Genomic DNA, 21,720 nt, shown 5'->3' on the forward strand with positions numbered 1-21,720 from the left:
AAACCAAGACTCTTTCTCAAATGGCCACATAAAGACAAACCACAAACTGGGGGAAGATACCTGCAACATAAATAATCCACAAAAGATTACTATCTTGAGTATATAGATAACTAAAAATAAATTATAAAAAATCAAACAACTCAATAGATAAGTGAGCAAAAGTTGCATATTTCACTGTAGACAAAAACATAACCAATAAACACAAAAAAAGATGCTCAACCTCCTTAGTAATCAGAAAATATAAATTAGTAATCATAATGTGACACCTTTATACCCATCAGGCTGGCCAAAAGAAAAAATAATAATCTTGACAACCCCACAATACCAAGTGTTATGAAGTGGAACACGTAGGACTTACCCACTGCCAGTGGAACTCTAAATTGCTATAACTACTTAGTCAAACAATTTAGCATTATCTATAAAGTTAAAGATGACTGTTTCCTACACCCTAGCAAAATTCTGATTGTAGGATACGCCCTAGAGAAACTCTCACTCACGTGCACAAGAAGAAATGCACAAGAATGTTTATAGCTACGCCAATGGTTATTACGGAGAAAACGGAACAGCACGAATGTTCAGTCAGCTCCAGGAACATGAATAAATCATGTTCGTTAAATTGCATTTAATGAAATACTATATTCAGCTGTAATATTTAATGAATGACAGCTACATTCCTGAGCATGGATAAATCCCTCAAATACAGTGTTACATGAAAAAAATAGGTTATGGGAGAATTTCTACAATATGATTCAATTATGTAAAGATTCAAAAGCAAGCGAGACTAAAGCAACTGGTCAAATAAGCTTTAACTGTTACTGTATAATTTGTACTTTGTAATATCTGGTAGTCGCATGGTTCGTTAAGCTTCAGGCTAACAGAAAATTAAGCATTAACTATGGTGCCAAGTTAAAAAAAAGTCTGCGAAATCAAAACCCTTAAAATTCGTCTACGAAATTTTAATAAATATCCGTGTAGAAAATCAGAACGACTCTTTCAGGCCATCTTTAAAATGTCATTGGTAAACCATACTTGATCCTAAATTCCTGTACTTCCTCAGGCCATCCGAGCATGAAACGCTGTCACCTACCCACATCCGCTGGCTGTGACGCTTGTCAAAGTGTTCTCTATCGGCTGCATGCCTAGACCACCAAAGCGTTCTGACCGGACAGTGTCACTGGAGAAGGCGGCGCGACATGTCCAGGGCGCAGATCTGGGCTCTGGTGTCTGGTGTCGGAGGGTTTGGAGCTCTCGTTGCTGCTACCACGTCCAATGAGTGGAAAGTGACCACGCGAGCCTCCTCGGTGATAACAGCCACTTGGGTTTACCAGGGTCTGTGGATGAACTGCGCAGGTAACGCGTTGGGTTCTTTCCATTGCCGACCGCATTTTACTATCTTCAAAGTAGCAGGTAAATATAATGGCTTTGTTTGGGGTGGAGGTAAAATGTACTTTTCCCCCCGACTGTGCTGAAGTAGCTGTCTATGGCTGGCTGTTAACTCTCTGAAGACTGAGTGCTTAATCAAAGTGCCAAGATTTGCCTAGGAAGGATGGGGTGTATGAGTATTGGCTGAAAGAATGACATTTATCTTATTTGACAAAGGAGATGTAAGAATAACCTTACAGGGCTTTTGGAATACCCAGTGTGACTCCAAAGGGAAGAGTGGAAGTGACTGGATTGTTTTAAAAGTCAGTTTCAATTTGCCTTGAGTCATGGAGGAATCTTGATGGGTCAGCACCCCTATGTAGGAAATGCTCTCATTGATTTAAACTTGTCTCTCCCTCTCTTCCTCTCTCTCTCTCTCTCTGTCTCTCTCTCTCTATATATATATACACCCACAAACACACACACACACACACACAGAGGTATCTATATGTGTGTGTGTATATATATATGCACACGTGTGTATATATATATGCACACATGTGTGTATATATACATTCACATATATAACCCACACAGGTATCTATATGAATATATATACATATATTCATGCACACACATATGTAACACACATATATATGTAATATGCCATTGCTAGATTGGAACTGGCAAACGATGGCAAATTCAAACTGGCTTTTAAAACAATCCAACCACTTCCACTCTTTCCTTTGGAGTCACACTGAGCATTCCAAAAGGCCTGTAAGGTAATCCGTATGTCTCCTTACATCTACTTTATCCTAGATTCCTGATAACGAAGGAAGGAATTCTATTTTCAGAAGGGTTTCCACGTTTTTTTTAATGTTTGTCACAGCCTAGATATAAAACAAAACGAAACAAAAAACCATATTGAATGATAAAATAACAGCAAGAAAAATTTGAAAGCGGTTAAGTGAAAGAAAATGCTGTTTACTTTCCCCTTTGGTTACCTGATTTTATTTATCTAAGAATACATGGGGCAAGCTTTCATCGTTGTGCATATTAGAAACTCTATTACAAGTGTACGTATCTCAAAGAGGGAACATATATTTTTTAAGGACATTTTCATACTCCAGAATGCCTTCAGGGAAACAATTGTCATTTGCTTTCCTGTCATTATGAGAATTACTATCTGCCTCTGCTTTCTGCAAATTTGATACATTTACAAATCTGCCACAAATTGTGGGTTTATTACTTTAAAAATTGCTCTTTGTTTCTTGGTAAAATATAGACTTTTCACAGTCAAATAGTAAAACTGTACCTTGGCCCCAGTAAAGAAAATGAAATAAAATTTTAACTAGGAAGTTACTAAAGCATAATGTGTTAGGAGATTTTGTGTCAAGTATGCACATCATTAGTCTACAATGAGTGCCAGGGGATAAAGAGAGAATACTTAACTAAATCCAGGAGATTTCTAATGACAATCAAAAGAAATATTCAAGCGTGGATGCCTCACTTAGTCCCTGAAATAACATGGACTTTCCTAAGTACCCATTTGAGGACTCCATGCTATGTCTCTCTTCAGGGTCAATTTCTAAACTTATTTTGGGTATTTCAACACTGATCCTTCTAATATAGAACACTGCCCTAGAAACAGAGGAAAAGAAGAGTGTGTGTGGAGACCCTCTTGTCACTCTGCACCTCTTACAATCGTTCTTTCTCCAGGGGCCCCTCTTGGCCCTTTTTCACCTTAGGAATCAGGTAGAAGAGATGGCATATGGTAAGTCTGTTTGTTTTTAATTGGGTTCATTTTTTATTTGTTCAATTATTATATATATTTTTTGAGATGGGGTTTCTCTATGTTGCCAAGGCTGGTCTCGATCTCCTGAGCTCAAGAGAGTCACCTGTCTCTGACTCTCAAAATGCTGAGATTATAGGCCTGAGCCACCTTGCCCGGCCTCATCTTAAAAAAAAAAAAAAGAAAATTGTCTTAATATGTTTCATTCTGTATTTCTTAATGAAACCCAGTTATTGGGGAAAACATGTGTTCAACTTTAGCTTCAAAGTGGGTTAAAGAACCATGGTACCTTTTACATGACTTCAACTTGCTGCTTCCCCAAACACATCATCACAGAGTTAGGCATTTTATTATGGTCCAGATATCTCTCACCCTTAACACTTTCTTATTTTTTATTTATTGTTTTTGAGACAGAACCTTGCTTTGTTGCCAAGGTTGGAGTGCAGTGGTACAATCTCAGTTCACTGCAACCTCCACCTCCCGGGTTCAAGTGATCCTCCCACCTCAGCCTCCCAAGTAGCTGGGAGTACAAGTGCATGCCACAACACTTGGCTAATTTTTAAAGGTTTCTGTAGAGATCAGATCTCACTATGTTACCTAGGCTAGTGTTGAACTCCTGGGCTCAAGCAATCCTACTGCCTTGGCCTCTTAACGTGCTGGGATTATAAGCATGAGCCACCACGCCTGCCAAAACTTTATTTTTAAAGTTAACTTTGTTTATTGATTGTAAAAATAATTTATTCTATCTCCTGTATACCCTGCACATAGGAGGTAATTTGAAAATCTCACCCACTGACAATGCTTCCCTAAGAACAAGTACAATTAAATTAATATAATCTCTCTACCTTCTTCATCCTGAGTCAAAATCTTTATAAATGATACACTTTGCTGCAGAAATCTGTTTTCAATGTCAGAAACACTGATTCATATTTCCAAAGAAAACGGGGATTCACACATTTGGATTTCCTTTCCCATGGAGTCATTGCTGGTTGCTTTTCTTTTATTCCTATTTGAAAACATAACAATGAGGGAATCAGGAAAGCTATCTATGCCAATAATCTCTCCAACATCACAATAATTATAAATTGAGAAAAGAACTCAGAAGTCAATGAAGAATGAAAATGGTTATATCACCTTTTAAAATAATAAACTATTTAAGCCTATATTGTCAATTTGAGACAAATCTTCTTAGACTTAGGCCAGATTAAACCTCCTCTAAGAAAGAAAAGCAGAAAATCTGTCTAAGCTGTCTCGGTTGTATTTTTTTTTTCTTGCTGATTATATAACTTCATTGCTGGAGTCATACCTTCCCATAGCTAACCCTCTTGAATGCTCCAGTGTAGCCACAGCTTTTTAGGGCTTCATTTGGATTAATAGTGACTACATCCCTTAAAAATTTGATGTGAGCAAACACCTCTTTGGGTGAGCAGCATTTATAGCTATAGTAAAAAATACAGAGGCCACCTTCAACTGTCATTCTGTGAAATAAACCGTAGGAACACCTGCAATTCAATTCTTATTGGAGCCTGAAAGCTTGATTAAAATCCAAAGCCAATTCACTATCTTTAGACACTAAGTCTACCATAAGCTAGGTCTCGTTTTGTTGTGTTTTGTTTTTCTGTCATATCTACGTTAATAGGAATGCTTTCACTATGAAAGTAAAGCATCTCTCATCGTAGGGAGAAAAGCAGTTCTTTCTGAGGGGGAAGACTGAATCCAAGAAGCATGGCTGCAGTGAGGGATTGAAGGAAATCCTGATCACCTTGGGACAGGGGCTGGATCTGTCATGTTCCTGTCGTGCCCCTGGCACATGCTGGGTTCCGGATATATAGCTGCAAAATGACTGAATTAACCAAATAATGAGTGAGACTACAGATGGTTCGCGATGAGGGCAAAATTGTATTCCTGGAGGAAGGATGGAGTGTGCTGAATTGAGGAGCGAGTGAGGAAATGAGCGCAGGCAACCCAAAGGGAGGTCAGTGGATTATGACTCAGCAGACTGAGCCTTGCATTCTGGCTCCTTTATGACTTGCTGTGAGACCTTGACTTCAGCAATGACATCTTCTGTGCCTCATCCATAAATTAAGAGAACAGATCTCCAAGAGTTCCTTCAGGTATCTTTCAACCTAGAGTTCAATTCCAGAACTTCACAATGCTTCGCCACCTGGCAGTAGAAGTTTCCCAAAGAATTATAGCCATAAAAGTATCCTCTATTATAATTGTTATAGTTGCTCATGGGATTAAGGTCTTTTCTTCTGTTTTTAATTTTTGTTTTTTAAGACAGGGTCTCACTCTGTCACCCAGGCTGGAGTGCAGTGGCACGATCATGGCTCACTTCAGCCTTGACTTCCTGGGCCCAAGTGATCCTCCCATCTCAGCCTCCTGAGTAGCTGGGACTATAGGCACGTGCCACCATGCCCAGCTACTTTTGCTTATAAGTAATTATAATTTTGTTTATAATTTTATTTATAAACATAATTAGCTGGACATGGTAAAGACAGGGTCTTGTGATGTTGCCCAGGGTGGTCTCAAACTCCTGGGCTCCAGTGATCCTCCAGCCTAGGCCTCCCAGAGTGCTGGGATTACAGGCATGGGCCATCGTGCCCTGCCAAGGCCTTTTTTTCCCCCTTATCTGTTATCTTGACCAGCTTCCTGTGTTCCTGACTGTTTACAGTCTTCTCAGCATCTGGGTTGAGATAGGTTTAAATGACCTTAAATGACCACAAGACCCAAGTCAAAGTGCCAGGATTTCAGTGGAATGAAACCAAACAGGCATCTGGAAGCTGCAGTCAAATGATGCTGGCTGTCTGCAGCAGTGTGAGCCTTCTCTCCTCACTTTCCAGATGCTTCACCTCTCTCCCCACTCCCTTATTTGGCCATGCCATAAAAATGGGGGTAAAGAGGCCAGGCACGGTGGCTCACGCCTGTAATCCCAGCACTTTGGGAGGCCAAGGCAGGTGGATCACCTGAGGTCAGGAGTTCAAGAGCAGCCTGACCAACTTGGCGAAATCCTGTCTCTACTGAAAATACAAAAATTAGCCAGGCGTGGTGGCGGGTCCCTGTAGTCCCCGCTCTTTGGGAGGCTGAGGAAGGAGAATCACTTGAACCCAGGAAGCAGAGGTTGCAGTGAGCCAAGATCGAGCTGCACTCCAGCCTGGGTGACAGAGCAAGACTCCATCGCAAAAAAAAAAAAAAAAAAAAAAAGCGGAGGGTAAAGGAATAGCACTTGCTAGAGAAAGAGGGTTTTCTGTGGGGGTTTATTCACATCTAGGGAACAGCTGGGAGCCATCTGATGTCATCAATTTAGACTTCTTGCTAGTTGGAATGTATGCCTGTGTTAGTCCACTCAGGCTGCAATAACAAAATACCATAAACTGGGTAATTCACCAACATCAGAAACTTATTTCTCATAGTTCTGGAGGCTGTGAAGTCCTAAATCGAGACACTGGCAGATTCAGTGCGTGGTGAGGGCCCATAGACGGCACCTTCTCACTGCATCCTCACATGGTGGAAGGGGCAAGGCAGCTCTCTGAGGCCTCTTTTTTATGTTATTATTATTTTTTTTTTTGAGACTGAGTCTTGTTCTATTGCCCAGGTTGGAGTGCAGTAGTGCAATCTCAACCTCTGCCTCCCAGGTTAAGCGATTCTCCTGCTTCTGCCTCCCAAGTAGCGGGGACTACAGGCACCCACCAGCACACCCAGCTAATTTCTGTATTTTTAATAGAGACAGAGTTTTGCTGGGTTGTCCAGGTTGGTCTCAAAATCCTGTCCTCAAGTGATCTGCCTGCCTCAGCCTCCCAAAATGCTGGGATTACACGCATGAGCCACCATGCCCAGCCTCTGGGGCCTCTTTTATAACAGCACTAATCCTATTCATGAGGGCTCTGCCTTCCTGACCTAATCACCTCCCAAAGGGCTCCACCTACTAATACCATTATTTTGGGGGTTATGATTTCCACATATAAATTTAGGGGCACACAAAGAGTCACAACATAGCAGTGCCTTAGTCCGTGATTAAATAATAATAGTAAATAAATACCAAACAACAATAATGAATAAATGAAAACAAATTACCATGTCAATGAGGGAAAATTAGTAAGTTAGATGCCTCCAAAATATTAACCCTTTTTTTTTTTTGAGACAAAGTCTCGCTCTGTTGCCCAGGCTGGAGTGCAGTGGCGTGATCCCAACTCACCACAACCTCCGCCTCCCAGGTTCAAGCGATTCTCCTGCCTCAGCCTCCCAAGTAGCTGAGACTACAGGCTCGCGCCACCATGCCTGGCTAATTTTTGTATTTTTAGTAGAGGTGCGGTTTCACTATGTTGGCCAGGCTGGTCTCAAACTCCTGACCTCGTGATCCACCCACCTCAGCTTCCCAAAGTGCTGGGATTACAGGCGTGAGCCACCATGCCTGGCCAATATTAATACTTTTAACAGATAGCTGCACCCTTGGATAACACTTACCTTTCCATTCTCTAAGATCCTGATGCTGCTTTCTGAAACTAAGTTTCATTAAATAAACTTAAGGTTAAATTTAATTTCAGATTAGTTTTTATGCTATGTCCCAAATGCATATAAAATTATTTAAAAGTATACAGAGACTGGGAGTAGTGGCTCATGCTTATAGTCCCAGCACTTGGGGAGGCTGAAGCAGGAGGGTCACTTGAGCCAAGGAGTTCAAGACCAGCCTGGGCAACACAGGGAGACCTTGTCCCTACAAAAAAATTTAAAAATAGCCAAGCATGGCAGCACATGCCTGTAGTTCCAACTACTTGGGAGGCTGAGGTGAGAGGATTGCTTCAACTGGGGAGATTGAGACTGCAGTGAGCTGATATTGCACAGCTGCATTCCAGCCTGGGTGAAGTCCAAGAAGCATTCGACATGTTCCTGTTCCAACAAACAGAGGCATAATATTATATGTGTACTGACACAGTCATAACCCAAGGTAGGTGAATTGGACTTTCGCAGTAGAATCTAGACAGGTTGAGCCACTGTATAATTGTCTCTGTATCAATATGGTTGGAAGAAGGCACAATGCTGAAAAGTGCCCTAGCCTTACAGTGGTGAAGATGGCGCTGGAGCGGTCAGAATGACCTCAATTGCCATAGCAGCGGACGACTGGACTGGGGATCCTAAAGCAGTGTGCTGCAGGCTGTTCTTTCATGGAAGCATCAGAAACTTTTTAAGACATCCTGTCTTCATCCATAGTTCCTCTTTTAGGGGCCAGGACCTTATCTCATTTATCCTGGTCTCCCCCGTACCTACTGCTGTGTCTGGCTTAGAAGGCACTCAACGAAGTTGTGTGGATTGAATAAACGGAAGGAGAAATTGTTCATTGAGTTAAATTCTGACATTTGTATTGCAGAGGGAATCTCTTCTCATGTCACCAAGTTCTAGAAAAGGGAGAAAGTCCTAGGGAAGTGTTTAGAACAAGTAAAAGAGCCATGGATTTGTTTTTGTGGTCTTTTCTTTCCTTTTTGAGACAGGGTCTTGCTCTGTCTCCCAGGCTGGGGTGCAGTGGCGTGATCACAGCTTGACCTCCTGGGTTTAAGCAATCCTCCCATCTCATCGTCCTGAGTAGCTGGGACTACAGGTGCATGCCAACCATCCGGCTAATTTTCATCTCTTTGTGGAGACGGGAATCTCACTGTGTTGCCCAAGTTTATCTCAAACTCCTGGCTTCAAGCAATCCTGTCTCAGCCTCCCAAAGTGCTGGGATTATAAGCATGAGCCACCACACCTGGCCTGCCATGAATATTTTTTATGATGGTATCTAAAAAGCACAAACATTTAGAGTATTGCTTCTTGAAATGTGATCCACCAGCCAGCAGCATCTATATCTCCTGGGAGCTTGCTTGAAATGCAGAATCTCAGGCCCCACTACAGACCTATTGAATCAGAATCTGCAATTTTATAAGCTCTCCAGGTGTCTTCTATGCACATTAAATGTTTGAGAAATCTTTGCCTGGAGTTTGGCCTTAGGAATGTGATGGACCCAACATTTACTAAAGGGTCTTAATCCCTCTGAGCTTCAGTGTTCTTTCCTGTTAAATGGTGATTAAAGAAGACACATATGGCCAGGCATGGTGGCTCATGCCTGTAATCCTAGCACTTTGGGAGACAAGCCAGGTGGATCGCTTGAGCGCAGAAGTTTGAGACCAGCCTGGGCAACATGGTGAAACCCCGTCTCTACAAAAAGTACAAAAATTAGGTGGCCATGATGGTGGGCACCTATAGTCCCAGCTACTCAGGAGGCTGAGGTGGAAGGATCACCTGAGCCAGGGAGGTCAAGGCTGCAGTGAGCTGTGATTGAGCCATTTCACTCCAGCTTGGGTGACAGAGTGAGACCCTGTCTCAAAAAAGCAAAAAACAACAAATAACACAGGCAAAGTGTCTTATGTAGTACCAGACACAAGGCTCTCCATAAAGAGTGGCGATTATGTCCATGAATACCTCTTTCAGTGCCTTGAAAGGTCACATCTCTGCTGTAGGAAGGTGGCTATTACTCTGCTCTACCCATTTGTTTCCAACCAGGACTGCAGTAGCTGCCTCTTAGAATGCAAAGCCTGATAGAAGCATGCCTTTGCTCCTTTGCTGCGTGTCTTGTCATATTTTTCATGATGTAAAGGATATTGTGCTCATGATGTGAAGGATATTGGACTATAGTTTGCACTTAGGATTTGCTATTTTGTATAAGGCAAGACCACCTTGCATTTCGATGTCAGTTACTCATTAAAGATGTGGATCTATTCCTTGAGTCAATCACACGTTCTAATAGCTTGGAATGGGGAGAAAAGGCCCCCTTTGGGCTCCACAGGGGAAGGCAGGGCTCCTACAAGCTCAGGGTGTGTTTGGTATGCCGGGCAGCCAAAAAGAGCAAATGTTTACTTGAGTATTCTTAGTTCTGAGGGCAGGGAAAAACTTTGGGACAGACAGTTTAATATATGGGTTTGAATCATAGCTCCACATAGAGCTAACGATGCAAACTCGAGCACATTACTTAACTTCTCATAGACTCAATCTTCTCATTTGCAAATGGAGGTAATAATACGAATCAACTCATAGGGTTGTTGTCAGGGTTAAATGAAATGATAATGTAAAACGCTTTACATCATGAGCAGCTGTCACAATCATAAGTTAGCCGTCATGTTATTCATTGATGACTTTAACCATGTAGCATAAGGTCACTGGTTTTTAAATGAATGTATACAGTGTGTTTTACGAAGTGCTTTCACATACATTGTCATAGTTCTCCAGAAGACTGATACTCTAAAGTCTCCATTTTATATATAAAGCAGCTGAGGTTCACTGGGGACCATATTTCTAACTTCCTATGGGCTTCTGCAAATCTTTTTGGGGAAATGGCCAGCATTTGGTGCTAGCTCCCAAATTTGTGTTTAAGTCCCAGCTTGGCCATGTTTTGTGGACCTTAGGTGAATCCCTGGCATTTGCCCTTGTTTCCCTTTCTTAGCTGTAGGATAACGATGATAATGATGTTGTTGACAATGATGATGTCTAGTTACATGCTTCAAAAGCTGGTGGGGAAGGTCAAGGAAAAGAATCTTATTGTATGACGTAGACTAACCTGTGTTTAAAATGAACTGGGGATTTGTTTTAATCGGGTGTGGTAAGATGCACAGACATGGAAATAACTGTCAGGAAAGAAGTTTTATACTCGTCGATCCCGAGAAGCGGGAGACATGGCATGGCACGCGAGACCACGCAGGGAAGAACCACGGTCATTCAGGAGCTGGGTGGGAAACCATGTTCCTGAGTCCTTGTGATTTTTGTGGGAAGGAATAAGCCAGGCTGGGAAAACTAAGCAGGTTTAGGATTGGCTCATTTTAATACTTTCAGCAGGCTTTGGAGTGTAGGAGCCCCAAGTTGTCTGGTTGCCACCCTGGGGTGATTAGGGCAGGGAAATATCTGCTTAATGGGTAAACACTTGGGAAAGGAGGTAGTTGGGGGTGTGGTCTTTGGGCTGGTTGGTTTGCTTATGAAAGATGTGCTTGTGGGGGGTCATTTGCTATCTGTAATAACTGGCTAGCCCTCGGGTTGGAGGAGCAGTTTCCCCCAAGTCAGCAAGGCCCCAAGTGCCAGAGCATGGAGAATACAGAAAACAAGAAAACAGAGTTAATACAGCATAGATGCCAGAGCCCTTGGTGGTGTTTGGACTGTGGGACAGCAAGGCATGGATTTTGCTGTCCCCTACTCCTTTAAGACTTCATACTTATCTGATTTTCTCCTGGTGAACATGTAGTGTAGAAAAGGTTCAGGTTTATCTCTCACAAGGTTCATAGCTCCTCTCCCTGCTCATTGCCCATCTGGCTGTCTCCACCGCACAGCTTTCCTCGCGCCTCACAGACTAAATTGCATCCTAAAGGAGATGTAGTGAGGAACATCTTCTGAGCAAATGGTGTGCTGGGCTTAGTCATTTAAAACCTTCCTGCCCTTGTGCATGTTTAGGTAATGTACATTATAGAAAGCGCCACTGCTCCTAAATGAACTTGGGATAATTGGCTTGAATTGCAGAAGGCAGCAGGTCTACAATTAAGCTTTTGCCAGATTTTTGTGTGCATTGCAGGAAAAATTGATTACCAAAGGTTAATAATTTGGCAAATCATTCAGCAGATTCCTGGTGCAGAATATAGGCTCTGAGGACTCAGGGAGGAACAGGACAGGGGCAGTTCTTCAGATACATGCTGTTGGGAGTAAAGCAACCATTTGGCAATTAGCCCAGAATGCTAAATGTTATTGGACGGTTAAGTTCAGGGGGACACTGACTTCTCAAAGAGCTGAGGCTTGAACTGTCTTGAAAGATGGGCGAAGTTTCACAAGAAGTTTGCCAAGGAAAGGAGGGCATTTTAGGCTAAGGGACTCATCCAACCCAAAAATTATTAACTGCATGTTTCTGAGAAGAATGCCTGACATTTGAGCTCCCTCATCTATTTTTTGTTTTTGTTTAGTTTTGTTTTCATTGTTTTTTGTTTGTTTTGTTTTGTTGTTGGTGGTGGTGTTTTTACAGAGTCTCACTCTGTCACACAGGCTGGAGTGCAGTGGTGCTATCTCGGCTCACTACCACCTGCTCCTCCAGGGTTCAAGTGATTCTCGTGCCTCAGCACAGATGTGCATCACCATTCCTGGCTAATTTTTGTATTTTTAGTAGAGACAGCGTTTTACCATGTTGGCCAGGCTGGTCTCGAACTCCTGACCTCAGGTGATCCACCTGCCTCAGCCTCCCAAAGTGCTGGGATTACAGGCAGGAGCCGCCACGCCTGGCCTGAGCACTCCCATCTGTTAAATGGAAATGTTATCTACTTCAGAGGATGATGGTGACGACTGAATGCATGAATTTGCATACAGCATCTAGAGCAATGCCTGGGACATACAAGAAAGACCTAAAAAGCAGGAGGAAGGCAAGTGCATGCAGGAACAGGAAGCACATAATTGGAATGGCTGACACCTAAGATGTGCACAGAGCGGGGGAGAATATCTGGCTGCAGACGTCGATAACAAAAGCTCCCAAAGGGACCTTTAAGCCCTACAAAGGGATCCAGACTTTGTCTGGAAGAAGCTGAAAGCTATTGAAACATTTTAAGCAGAGAATACCCATGGGGCTTACACTTAACAAAGACCCTGCAGTATTTTGTGTTAGAATCTGAGCAAAGAGCATAGCAGCAGGAATACAAAGAAAGATATTTTGAGGCAGAATTGTTGAGTCTTGGTGACTTATGAGGAATGAGAGGGGTCAAGGATGTCTCCAAGGATTTCTGCCAGGAAACTTGATGGGCAGTGGGATAGAGAAAGCTGGTCCCAACGTAACCTCTAGTTCCTTCTCCTAGTATGGTGTTTTCCAATACGTACCAAGATCTCAGTCAGTCAGTTTCTTAACTTAATGGGGTTTGGCCTTGAAACACCAATTGTAGAGAGTGAGACAGATTAGTTTGACCGAGTTTAATTTTTTTTTAGCTGTGCTCTTTAGATGTCTAATACAAGAGGAAAATGTGACAGCTACAAAGATTAATGCAATTGTAGGTGACATTAGCGGCACAGGAATAACAAAGTTAGATGGGTAATAGTCCCCAACTACTTTGTAGTCAAATTGCATAGTTCTAGTCTTGCACACCGTATATTTTAAGGGACATGAACATAAACCAATTCATTGATTCTAGAGGAGGGTGACTAGGAGGATGAGAGGTTTTGAAATCACTTCACATGGCCATTTGTTTCACCTGGAAGAAATGGAAAAAAAATATATAGGGCACAGAGTGGGAGAAGATATTGGGTAGATGTTACTAGAGAGTCCGGTTTAGGATCACTTGGAAGAAGTCATTTCTATCAGAGTTGCTCCGCAATGGGACAGGCTGTCTCACAGAGACCTGGCTAGAAGTTCCCAGAGGAGGTCGAGGGGGTTCTGCTAAGAGGCTGTAGAACCCCTTCCTGCACTGGCTGGGAAGATAGATGAGGCAGTCTCTCAAGCAGTTTCCAGTATGAGAGGTCTGAGATTCTGTGCACATGTGCAAATAAACACAAATATTTAAAAATCTATGTCTTTGATTTGCATATTGACTTCAATAGTTTTGAACAACTGCCAAGCTCTGTGCTAGATAACTTGGAATACGGCAATAAAAATACCTCATCTCTGCCCTTAGATGTTCATAGCCTAGAAGGGATCATGAATTGAAGCAGTAAATGTTATATATGTTATGTTAATGACATTCTATTTAAACCTATATGTTAATCAATGTTAGAATTAATATAAGAAGGTTGGACGCAGTGGCTCACGCCTGTAATCCCAACACTTTGGGAGGCCAAGGCGGGAGGATCACCTGAGGTCAGGAGTCTGAGACTAGCCTGGCCAACATGGCAAAACTCCACCTCTACTAAAAATACAAAAATTAGCTGGGTGTGGAAGCAGGCACCTGTAATTCCAGCTATTTGGGAGGCTGAGGCAGGAGAATCGCTTGAACCCAGGAGGTAGAGGTTGCAGTGAACCGAGATTGTGCCACTGCACTCCAGCCTGGGCAACAGAGTGAGACTCTGTCTCAAAAAAAAAAAGAATTAATATAATTAATATAAGAAACACATAGCTCTCCATCTCTAATTGATATCTGGAAGGGTCCTAAGAAGCCCACAGTGTATGCCATCTAACCTTTTCTGGGAGAACGGACTACTACTTCTAAATCCAGGCACAGAGCCGAGTGATGGCGGGGGCAGGGGGATACAAGAGAACGAGTCCTGCCTTTAACTAAATTTCCTTGGGTTGATATTTCTAGTTTATACGCACCAAATATAGTCCATGCATAAAAACGACCCGCCATCCTACTGGGAGGCTGATTTTCTCCAGAACACAGAATGTGGACATTTGTGAGGTGGGCAGGGGAAAATGGAAGACAATTTTCTTCTTATCTTACTACGGCCATATGTTCTCCTTTATTTCCACCGGCAAGTCTTGAGCCAGTCATATGAGGGGATTTTAGCCTGCTCTGGAGGACTCCTACAAACGTCCCCACTAAACTGATTCTACTGCAGTGGCCGAGGTCCTTCCTTGACGCGGCGCCTGGTTCTGTGTTTGTGCCACTTTGCTCAGCCTTCCAGCTCCTGGTGGTCAGCTGCTGCCCACTCTCCTGTTTAAACCTGGACCGCAGACCTCTCACTTTTTTCCTCGCGGCTGATGTCTGGTTCCAGGTGGTAGATCTGTCTTACGACGGTCCCATACCCTAAATCCAGCATGCCTGGTGGCTCAGTTCTGACCCAGTGCCTGTCCTAAACATTATGTTCTGGACGCTATTGATCTGCCTGATCCCCAGGGCCTCTCCTTTGCCTCCCTGCTTCAGCTCCTTCACCAGGACTTGCTTTCTCTCACCCCACACCTTGGGAAGAACTGTCAAAGCATGGCTCCTAGCTGTGAGAATTTGGGGGAAAACGAGAAGGGGGAGTGCACATGCGTGTGTGTGTGTGTGTGTGTGTGTGTGTGTGTATCCATTTTTTCATCTGGAAAAATATGCATGTTATCCTAGTGGCTCCCTCTATTCCAGCTTCAAGTCTGGGGTGTCCGTGACAGCAGGTGTGGAGCCCGAGAAAGAGTGTCCTCCCCAGGAGTCTTCCCCTCCCACCTGCAGCATCAAAGCTGCCCTGCGGGGGTGCAGCTATGCCGCCTCTCCCTTGCCAGGCTCTTTCTGCCTCTGCTTCCTGTGCCTGCGGCGAGAGGTGGGGGTGATCTGCCATTGCACAGGTGCTAAGCTACCCAGCTTTTGCTCCAGTTCCATCCAGGATTATGAAATAAACTTAAACTAGACTGCCCACACCACACAGGCACACACATGCACACGCATACACCAGGCAGGTTCTACAGCTAACTACTCATACACACAATCTCTTATCACGCAGACACCTCAACACACTACACACACACACAGAAAAATACACACTCACCATACAGTCAGCACATACACATCACACATACATGTGGGCAACACACACATACACAAACATAGCCAGCCATTTGCCATGCAATCATACACACAGGCACACACAGATGTGCATTCACCATACAGGCAGGCACCCCACACACATATACACCCATTGACCCAAATACAACAATGCAAGCTCCACACATAACTACCTACATACACATACACCATGCACCTTGCAGACACCTCATACATGTCACACGCATAGTCATCGGAGGGAAAGAAAGACTTAGAGACCAAGATTTTCACAGACAGTGAGGAATGTGACCCCCCTGGACAGAAAGAGCTGGGGATGGCTGCTTACCCACACCATGCTCAGAAGTCATTCATATTGGGGCAGGGGTCAGCACAGAAAAGTTAGCTCCTGCCTCCCCAGATGCCTCTCATAGGCCTATGGGGGCACCTAGAAGTGACGTTCCATCACATCATCATCTTTGTCCACTAAGCCATAGTATTTTATTTTATTTTATTTTATTTTATTTTATTTTGAGGCAGATTCTCTCTCTCTCTCGCCCAGTTTGGAGTTCAGTGGCACGATCTCGGCTCACTGCAGCCTCCACCTCCCAGGTTCAAGTGATTCTCGGTCCTCAGCCTCCCAAGTAGCTGGGATTATAGGCGCATGCCACCACGCCCAGCTATTTTTGTATTTTTACTACAGATGGGGTTTCACCATGCTGGCCAGGCTTGTCCTGAACTCCTGACCTCAAGTAACCTGCCTCCCTCGGCTTCCCAAAGTGCTGAGATTATAGGCATGAACCACCGTGCCCCGTTCCACTAAGCCATACTCTAAATCACCTTACTTCCTTCCAGGTCTCCCAGCTTGGAGTCTGGCAAATTGTAAATACTCCATAATGATCCATTTCCCTCCTCCATTCCTTCCAGATCACAGACCTCAAAGCCTGATGTCCTGTTGGAATCCCAGGACTGCTGCTACTAGCTTTACTACCGACCTAGTGACTTAAACTCTGTCTGTGTTTCAGTTTTTTATTTTTATTTTTTTTCGAAACAGAATCTCGCTCTGTTGCCCAGGCTGGAGTGCAGTGGCGCAACCTCGGCTCACTGCAAACTTCATCTCCCAGGTTCAAGTGATTCTTCTGCCTCAGCCTCCCGAGTAGCTGGAATTACAGGCATGCACCACCACACCCAGCTAATTTTGTATTTTTAGTAGAGATGGGGTTTCACCATGTTGGCCAGACTGGTCTCGAACTCCTGACCTCAAGTGATCCTCCCACCTCAGCCTCCTAAAGTGCTGGGATTACAGGCATAAGCCACTGTGCCCTGCCACTCAGTTTTCTTTTTTTGTTGTTTTATTTTTTAGAGACAGGGTCCTGCTCTGGCATCTAGGCTGGCGTGCAGTGGTGTGATCATAGCTCACTGTAACATTGAACTCCTGGGCTCTAGGAATCCTCCTACTTTAGCCTCTGAGTAGCTGGGACTATAGGTGCACACCACCATGCTAGCTAATTTTTAAATTTTTTTTTTTTTTTTCTTTTTGAGGCAGAATCTTGCTCTGTCTCCCAGGCTGGAGTGCAGTGGCACAACCTCCGCTCACTGCAAGCTCCGCCTCCCGGGTTCACGCCATTCCCCTGCCTCAGCCTCCCGAGTAGCTGGGACTACAGGCGCCCGCCACCACGCCCGGCTGATTTTTTGTATTTTTAGTAGAGACGGGGTTTCACCGTGTTAGCCAGGATGGTCTCAATCCCCTGACCTTGTGATCCGCCTGCTCGGCCTCCCAAAGTGCTGGGATTACAGGCGTGAGCCACCACGCCCGGCCTTAAAATTTTTTTGTAGAGACAGGGTTCTCCCTATGTTGCCCAGGTAGGTCTTGAACTCCTGGCCTGAAGCAATTCTCCCACCTTGGCCTTCCAAAGTGCTGGGATTACAGGCATGAGCTACTGCACCTGGCCTTGTGTGTCAGTTTTCTTATCTGTAAAATGAAGATAATAACAGAATCTTCCTTATATGAAAGTTAATATATGAGTTAGCTTTTGTTGTTTGCTCCAACTCACAATTCTGGCTTTTCAAGACTGCTTTGAAACCAGACTTTGTTGTGTTTGTGTTAGCTAATCTCCCAGTTTGGCATCACCTAAAAACCTTCTGCACATTCCCTGGAGGTCTCTGTGAGAATCCTGCAGGGATTAAGAGCCCTTCCCTCTTTTTCTCGTGTTGCTCTGAGATGTCTGAATCCAGTAGGGTGGCAGCACATTTCTCTCTTCCTCTCTTTTCCCACAGCGCTGATCCCAGGCTTTCGCCAAGCTTCCTCCTTTTGAATTCCATGTTCTTTGCCATGTGTCTTCCTCACAGTCCGCTCTGATTTTCCTGCTACTCCATTCAGCTGGTCACCCAGGTTAGACATCCGCAGCACATAAGGCCCATCTGCTGCTTCTTCAGACTGCACGCCCAGCCAATGCAAAGTCCTGTCAAATCTGATGCTCACCCCTCCCATTCTCCCTGGAGGGAGCTTTGCTCTGTCTCTGGCTCAGGTTATCGTCTACCTGGGCTCAGCATCTAGGCTCTCCCTGCTGAGTTTAGATTGTGATCAAATAGTAAAAAGAAACATATTCACTGTTCTACTTGCTCGAATCAAGGCTACAGATGAAACCCCCAAAGGCAGAGCTTCCTCCAGTTCCTGGGCTCTGTTCAGCTGCGTTGAGAGCATTTACTCTGTGCATGCACCACTGTAACTATCACCTCACTTGGTTCCCAGAGTGACCTCTTGTGCTAGGAGCTTTACCCATGCCCGTTTTGCAGGTGAGGTAACTACACAGAGCTTGGAGAAGGGCCATAACTTGCTCAGTGTCATGGCTAAGGTAGTGGCCATGGCAGGATGCAAATGTGAGACTGTATAATTCTTGAGTCCTAAAGTCCTATCACTTATCCATCAAGGACTCTCAGAAATGGCCAATCCCCGGCAGGAAGAATGCATCAAAACAGTCCTGACTGTCCTTTTCAGTCCTCCTGCTTCAATCGAACTGGACTTTGAGATTAACTTCTCCCTTCTCTGTGCTTCTGCTCATGCCATTTGGGGCACACACCTTCTTTCATCACTCCGCATCTCTCTCTTCCTTCAAACTCCACCTCCAATGCCATTTGTTATTCAAAGCCTTTTTAATCTTCTAGCTAGAAGGGACTTTTGTCTTCATAGGTCTCCCTGGCACTTGGTACTTCTGTTTTGTTTTTAGAGATATGGTCTCGCTCTGTCACCCAGGCTAGGGTACAGTGGCACAGTCATAGCTCACAGCAGCCTCCAACTCCTGGGCTCAAGCTATCCTCCTGCCTCGGCCTCCCTAGTAGCTGGGACTACAGGTGCAAGCCTCCATGCACAGCTGGTACTTCTTTTCTTGTGGCTTTGCTACTCTGCCTTGCATTGTGGTTACTTGTGCACTTGCCCTTTGCCACCACTGCATTATAAGCCTTATGAAGACAGGGATCCAACAACTTCTTTCTATCCCTTGCCTGGAAGAGCACCCTGCATAAAATCCAGGCTGTATTCATGTATGTTGAGTTACTGCAGAACCATTTGTTGAGTTGAATGAGTGAGAGCAAGGAGCAGACCACAGGGCATGGAGACTTTCCAGGTTCACCTTCCTTGGTGCCGTTAGCAAGTCTATTGGAATGGTTATCAGCCCAACTTCAACCTTCTTGTCCAAAGCACAGTGTGATAGATGTTGCAAAGCATCCTGGCACACTTTTCAAAAGAGAAAGTATTTAATACACATCTCTTGCTCTTAGCGGCTCACCCTGGTTCTCAACAGGAGCCCCTTTTATCTCTAAGGTTCAAACACCATCTCTTTAATGATCTATTCTGGAATTTTCCTATCATTTGCTACCAAGCTATCAATGCTATTATCAAAGCTACCAATTGTTATCAATGGCAATTTCCGAAACATACCCTTTTGAAATTTGGGACATTTTCTTAACCCCTAATTTTCTCGCTGCTCACGTTTTCCTTCATTCTATGATCATGTCTGGTCCTTTCATATAGATATTCACATGAAAAATCTCAGGCACCCTTCAAAATGTTCCCTTTGGGTAGTAAGAAACAGCCCTCCCTGTATTGGAAAGGTACTGCTGAGAAAAATCATAATTTATTATTATTTTTATTTTTAAAAAGGCTCTGATTATTTGAACAGATTCCTTCCCTGAGGACTCACCCTCTGAGTGATTCTGGGCTGAGTCCCTCTCTCGATTATTAATGAATTTGAGATATGGATGTGGTTGTTGGTCTTGCCCATAAATTATCCAGTCATGCATGACCACAGTCAGCAGAAAAAGAACTTTCCAGCTCCTCAGCTGCTGGATTCAGAAAAGTGACTGGGTCGTGTGGACATTTCTATGAGGGCTCCAGTTTCTGAATGTTATGAGCAACTTAGTAAAAGTGCAAGGTAAACATAAAGTACCATTCACTGAGAGCAGACTAAATTATGAGCCATAACCTTCTCGAGATAGCCTGGTACCATTTGGGTTATCTCTTTTATAAAACGTGCTGAGGGTGATTGGTTTGGAAATAGTTGTTCTTTCATGTATCTTACTTTATTTTCCTTTGACTCAAATGGTTAAGATGAGAAGTGGAAATAATTTTCTAACAATAAATTATTTCCTATCTGAATTATTTTTCCTGTCAGGACTTTCTGTTACTTCCTCTGACTCCAACCATACACACACTCCCCAACTCAAACATTGCAAATATTGTGTTTCTTAAAATACTTGTAATTACCTTTTATTATTAACTTCAATGTACAGGTCTTGCCTTCCTATTTATAAACTTTGATTCTTCCCTTAATCAGCATGCAATGGTTTTTGGTTTTGTTTTGTTTTGTTTTTAAGTTTTATTTTTGTAAAAGTTATTGTCTGTACTATACCAACCTATGGGAACAAATGCTATTATCTTTACATTTATGTCCCAATTCACATGAAATCTAGGCAGAAACTCCAAACTTTTCCAGGAGTCCCCTCCCTAAACATCTCTTCCCTATCAATATTTGTAATTATCTCCTCTTCTCCTACCTGCTCTTGTCTGTCGGGAGAACCCACTATCTTGTCAGCAGGACTGGGCTGGGCTCTCATTCCACCAACAACCTCACCCACCAGTCTCAAACTCCATTAGCCTTACCTCTAAATAAACAAGCACAGAGGCTGGGCTGGTGGCTCAAGCCTGTAATCCCAGCACTTTGGGAGGCTGAGGCAGGTGGATCACCTGAAGTCAGGAGTTCCAGACCAGCCTGGCCAACATGGAGAAACCCCATCTCTACTAAAAATACAAAAACTTAGCGGGTTATGGTGGCACATGCCTGTAAACCCAGTTACTAGGGAGGCTCAGGCAGGAGACTCACTTGAACCCAGGAAGTGGAGATTGCAGTGAGCTAAGATTGCACCACTGCACTTCAGCCTGGGCAGCAGAGTGAGATCCATCTCAAAAAGAAAAAGAAAAAAAAAAAAGAGCAAGCACAGAGATTAAAAACTACGTGTTTTATGCTAACACTGCTTCTAGGAAAGGTCCATAGGCATGGCTGTCCCAGTAACATTTCTGTGTATGAGCTCTTCCCACTTGAGATTCTAGTGCCTCGCTGGGCACGGTGGCTTACACCTGTAATCCCAGCACTCTGGGAGGCCAAGGCGGGCGGATCACCTGAGGTTGGGAGTTCGGGATCTAGTGCCAACATTGCTCATCAATCTCATTCCCCTATGCTGGCTTCTGACAGCCCTGAATCTACCTTCTCTCTTTCTTACCCTCCAAGGGTCCCAAGCGTGGTAACAATTTCAATTTATCTTCGGACAAGTGTTTGCCAGAAGATCTACCCGCAACCAGGTTGACCAAGTCAGGATAATTTGAGTGCAGGTGTCCACTGGGCCAGGGCTGCACTTCTCCCCAGCCATTGAAAGAAGGCCAGGCCAGGAAAGGTGGCTCACACCTGTAATCCCAGCACTTTGGGAGGCTGAGGCGGGTGGATCACCTGAGGTCAGGAGTTCAAGACTAGCCTAGCCAATGTGGTGAAATCCCATCTCTGCTAAAAAATACAAAAAGTAGCCAGGTGTAGTAGTGCATGCCTGTAATCTCAGCTACTTGGGAGGCTGAGGCAGAAGAATCACTTG

At 43.9% G+C, this 21,720-nt stretch overlaps 1 protein-coding gene across 2 annotated transcripts in view; it reads left to right on the top strand.

The window, feature by feature from the left end:
* CLDN10 (claudin 10) overlaps nt 1,115–21,720 on the top strand; it is a 146,005-nt gene continuing 125,399 nt past the window's right edge. The window contains exon 1 of one of the 2 annotated variants that reach the window (NM_182848.4): nt 1,115–1,407. In NM_182848.4, the coding sequence (NP_878268.1) occupies nt 1,194–1,407 (214 nt within the window). In that variant the 5' untranslated portion in view covers nt 1,115–1,193. The remainder of the gene's footprint in view (nt 1,408–21,720) is intronic. The other variant, NM_001160100.2, reaches the window with a different exon arrangement.

Source organism: Homo sapiens, chromosome 13 (assembly GCF_000001405.40).
Source record: "Homo sapiens chromosome 13, GRCh38.p14 Primary Assembly".
In the NCBI taxonomy this organism is placed as follows: domain Eukaryota; kingdom Metazoa; phylum Chordata; class Mammalia; order Primates; family Hominidae; genus Homo; species Homo sapiens.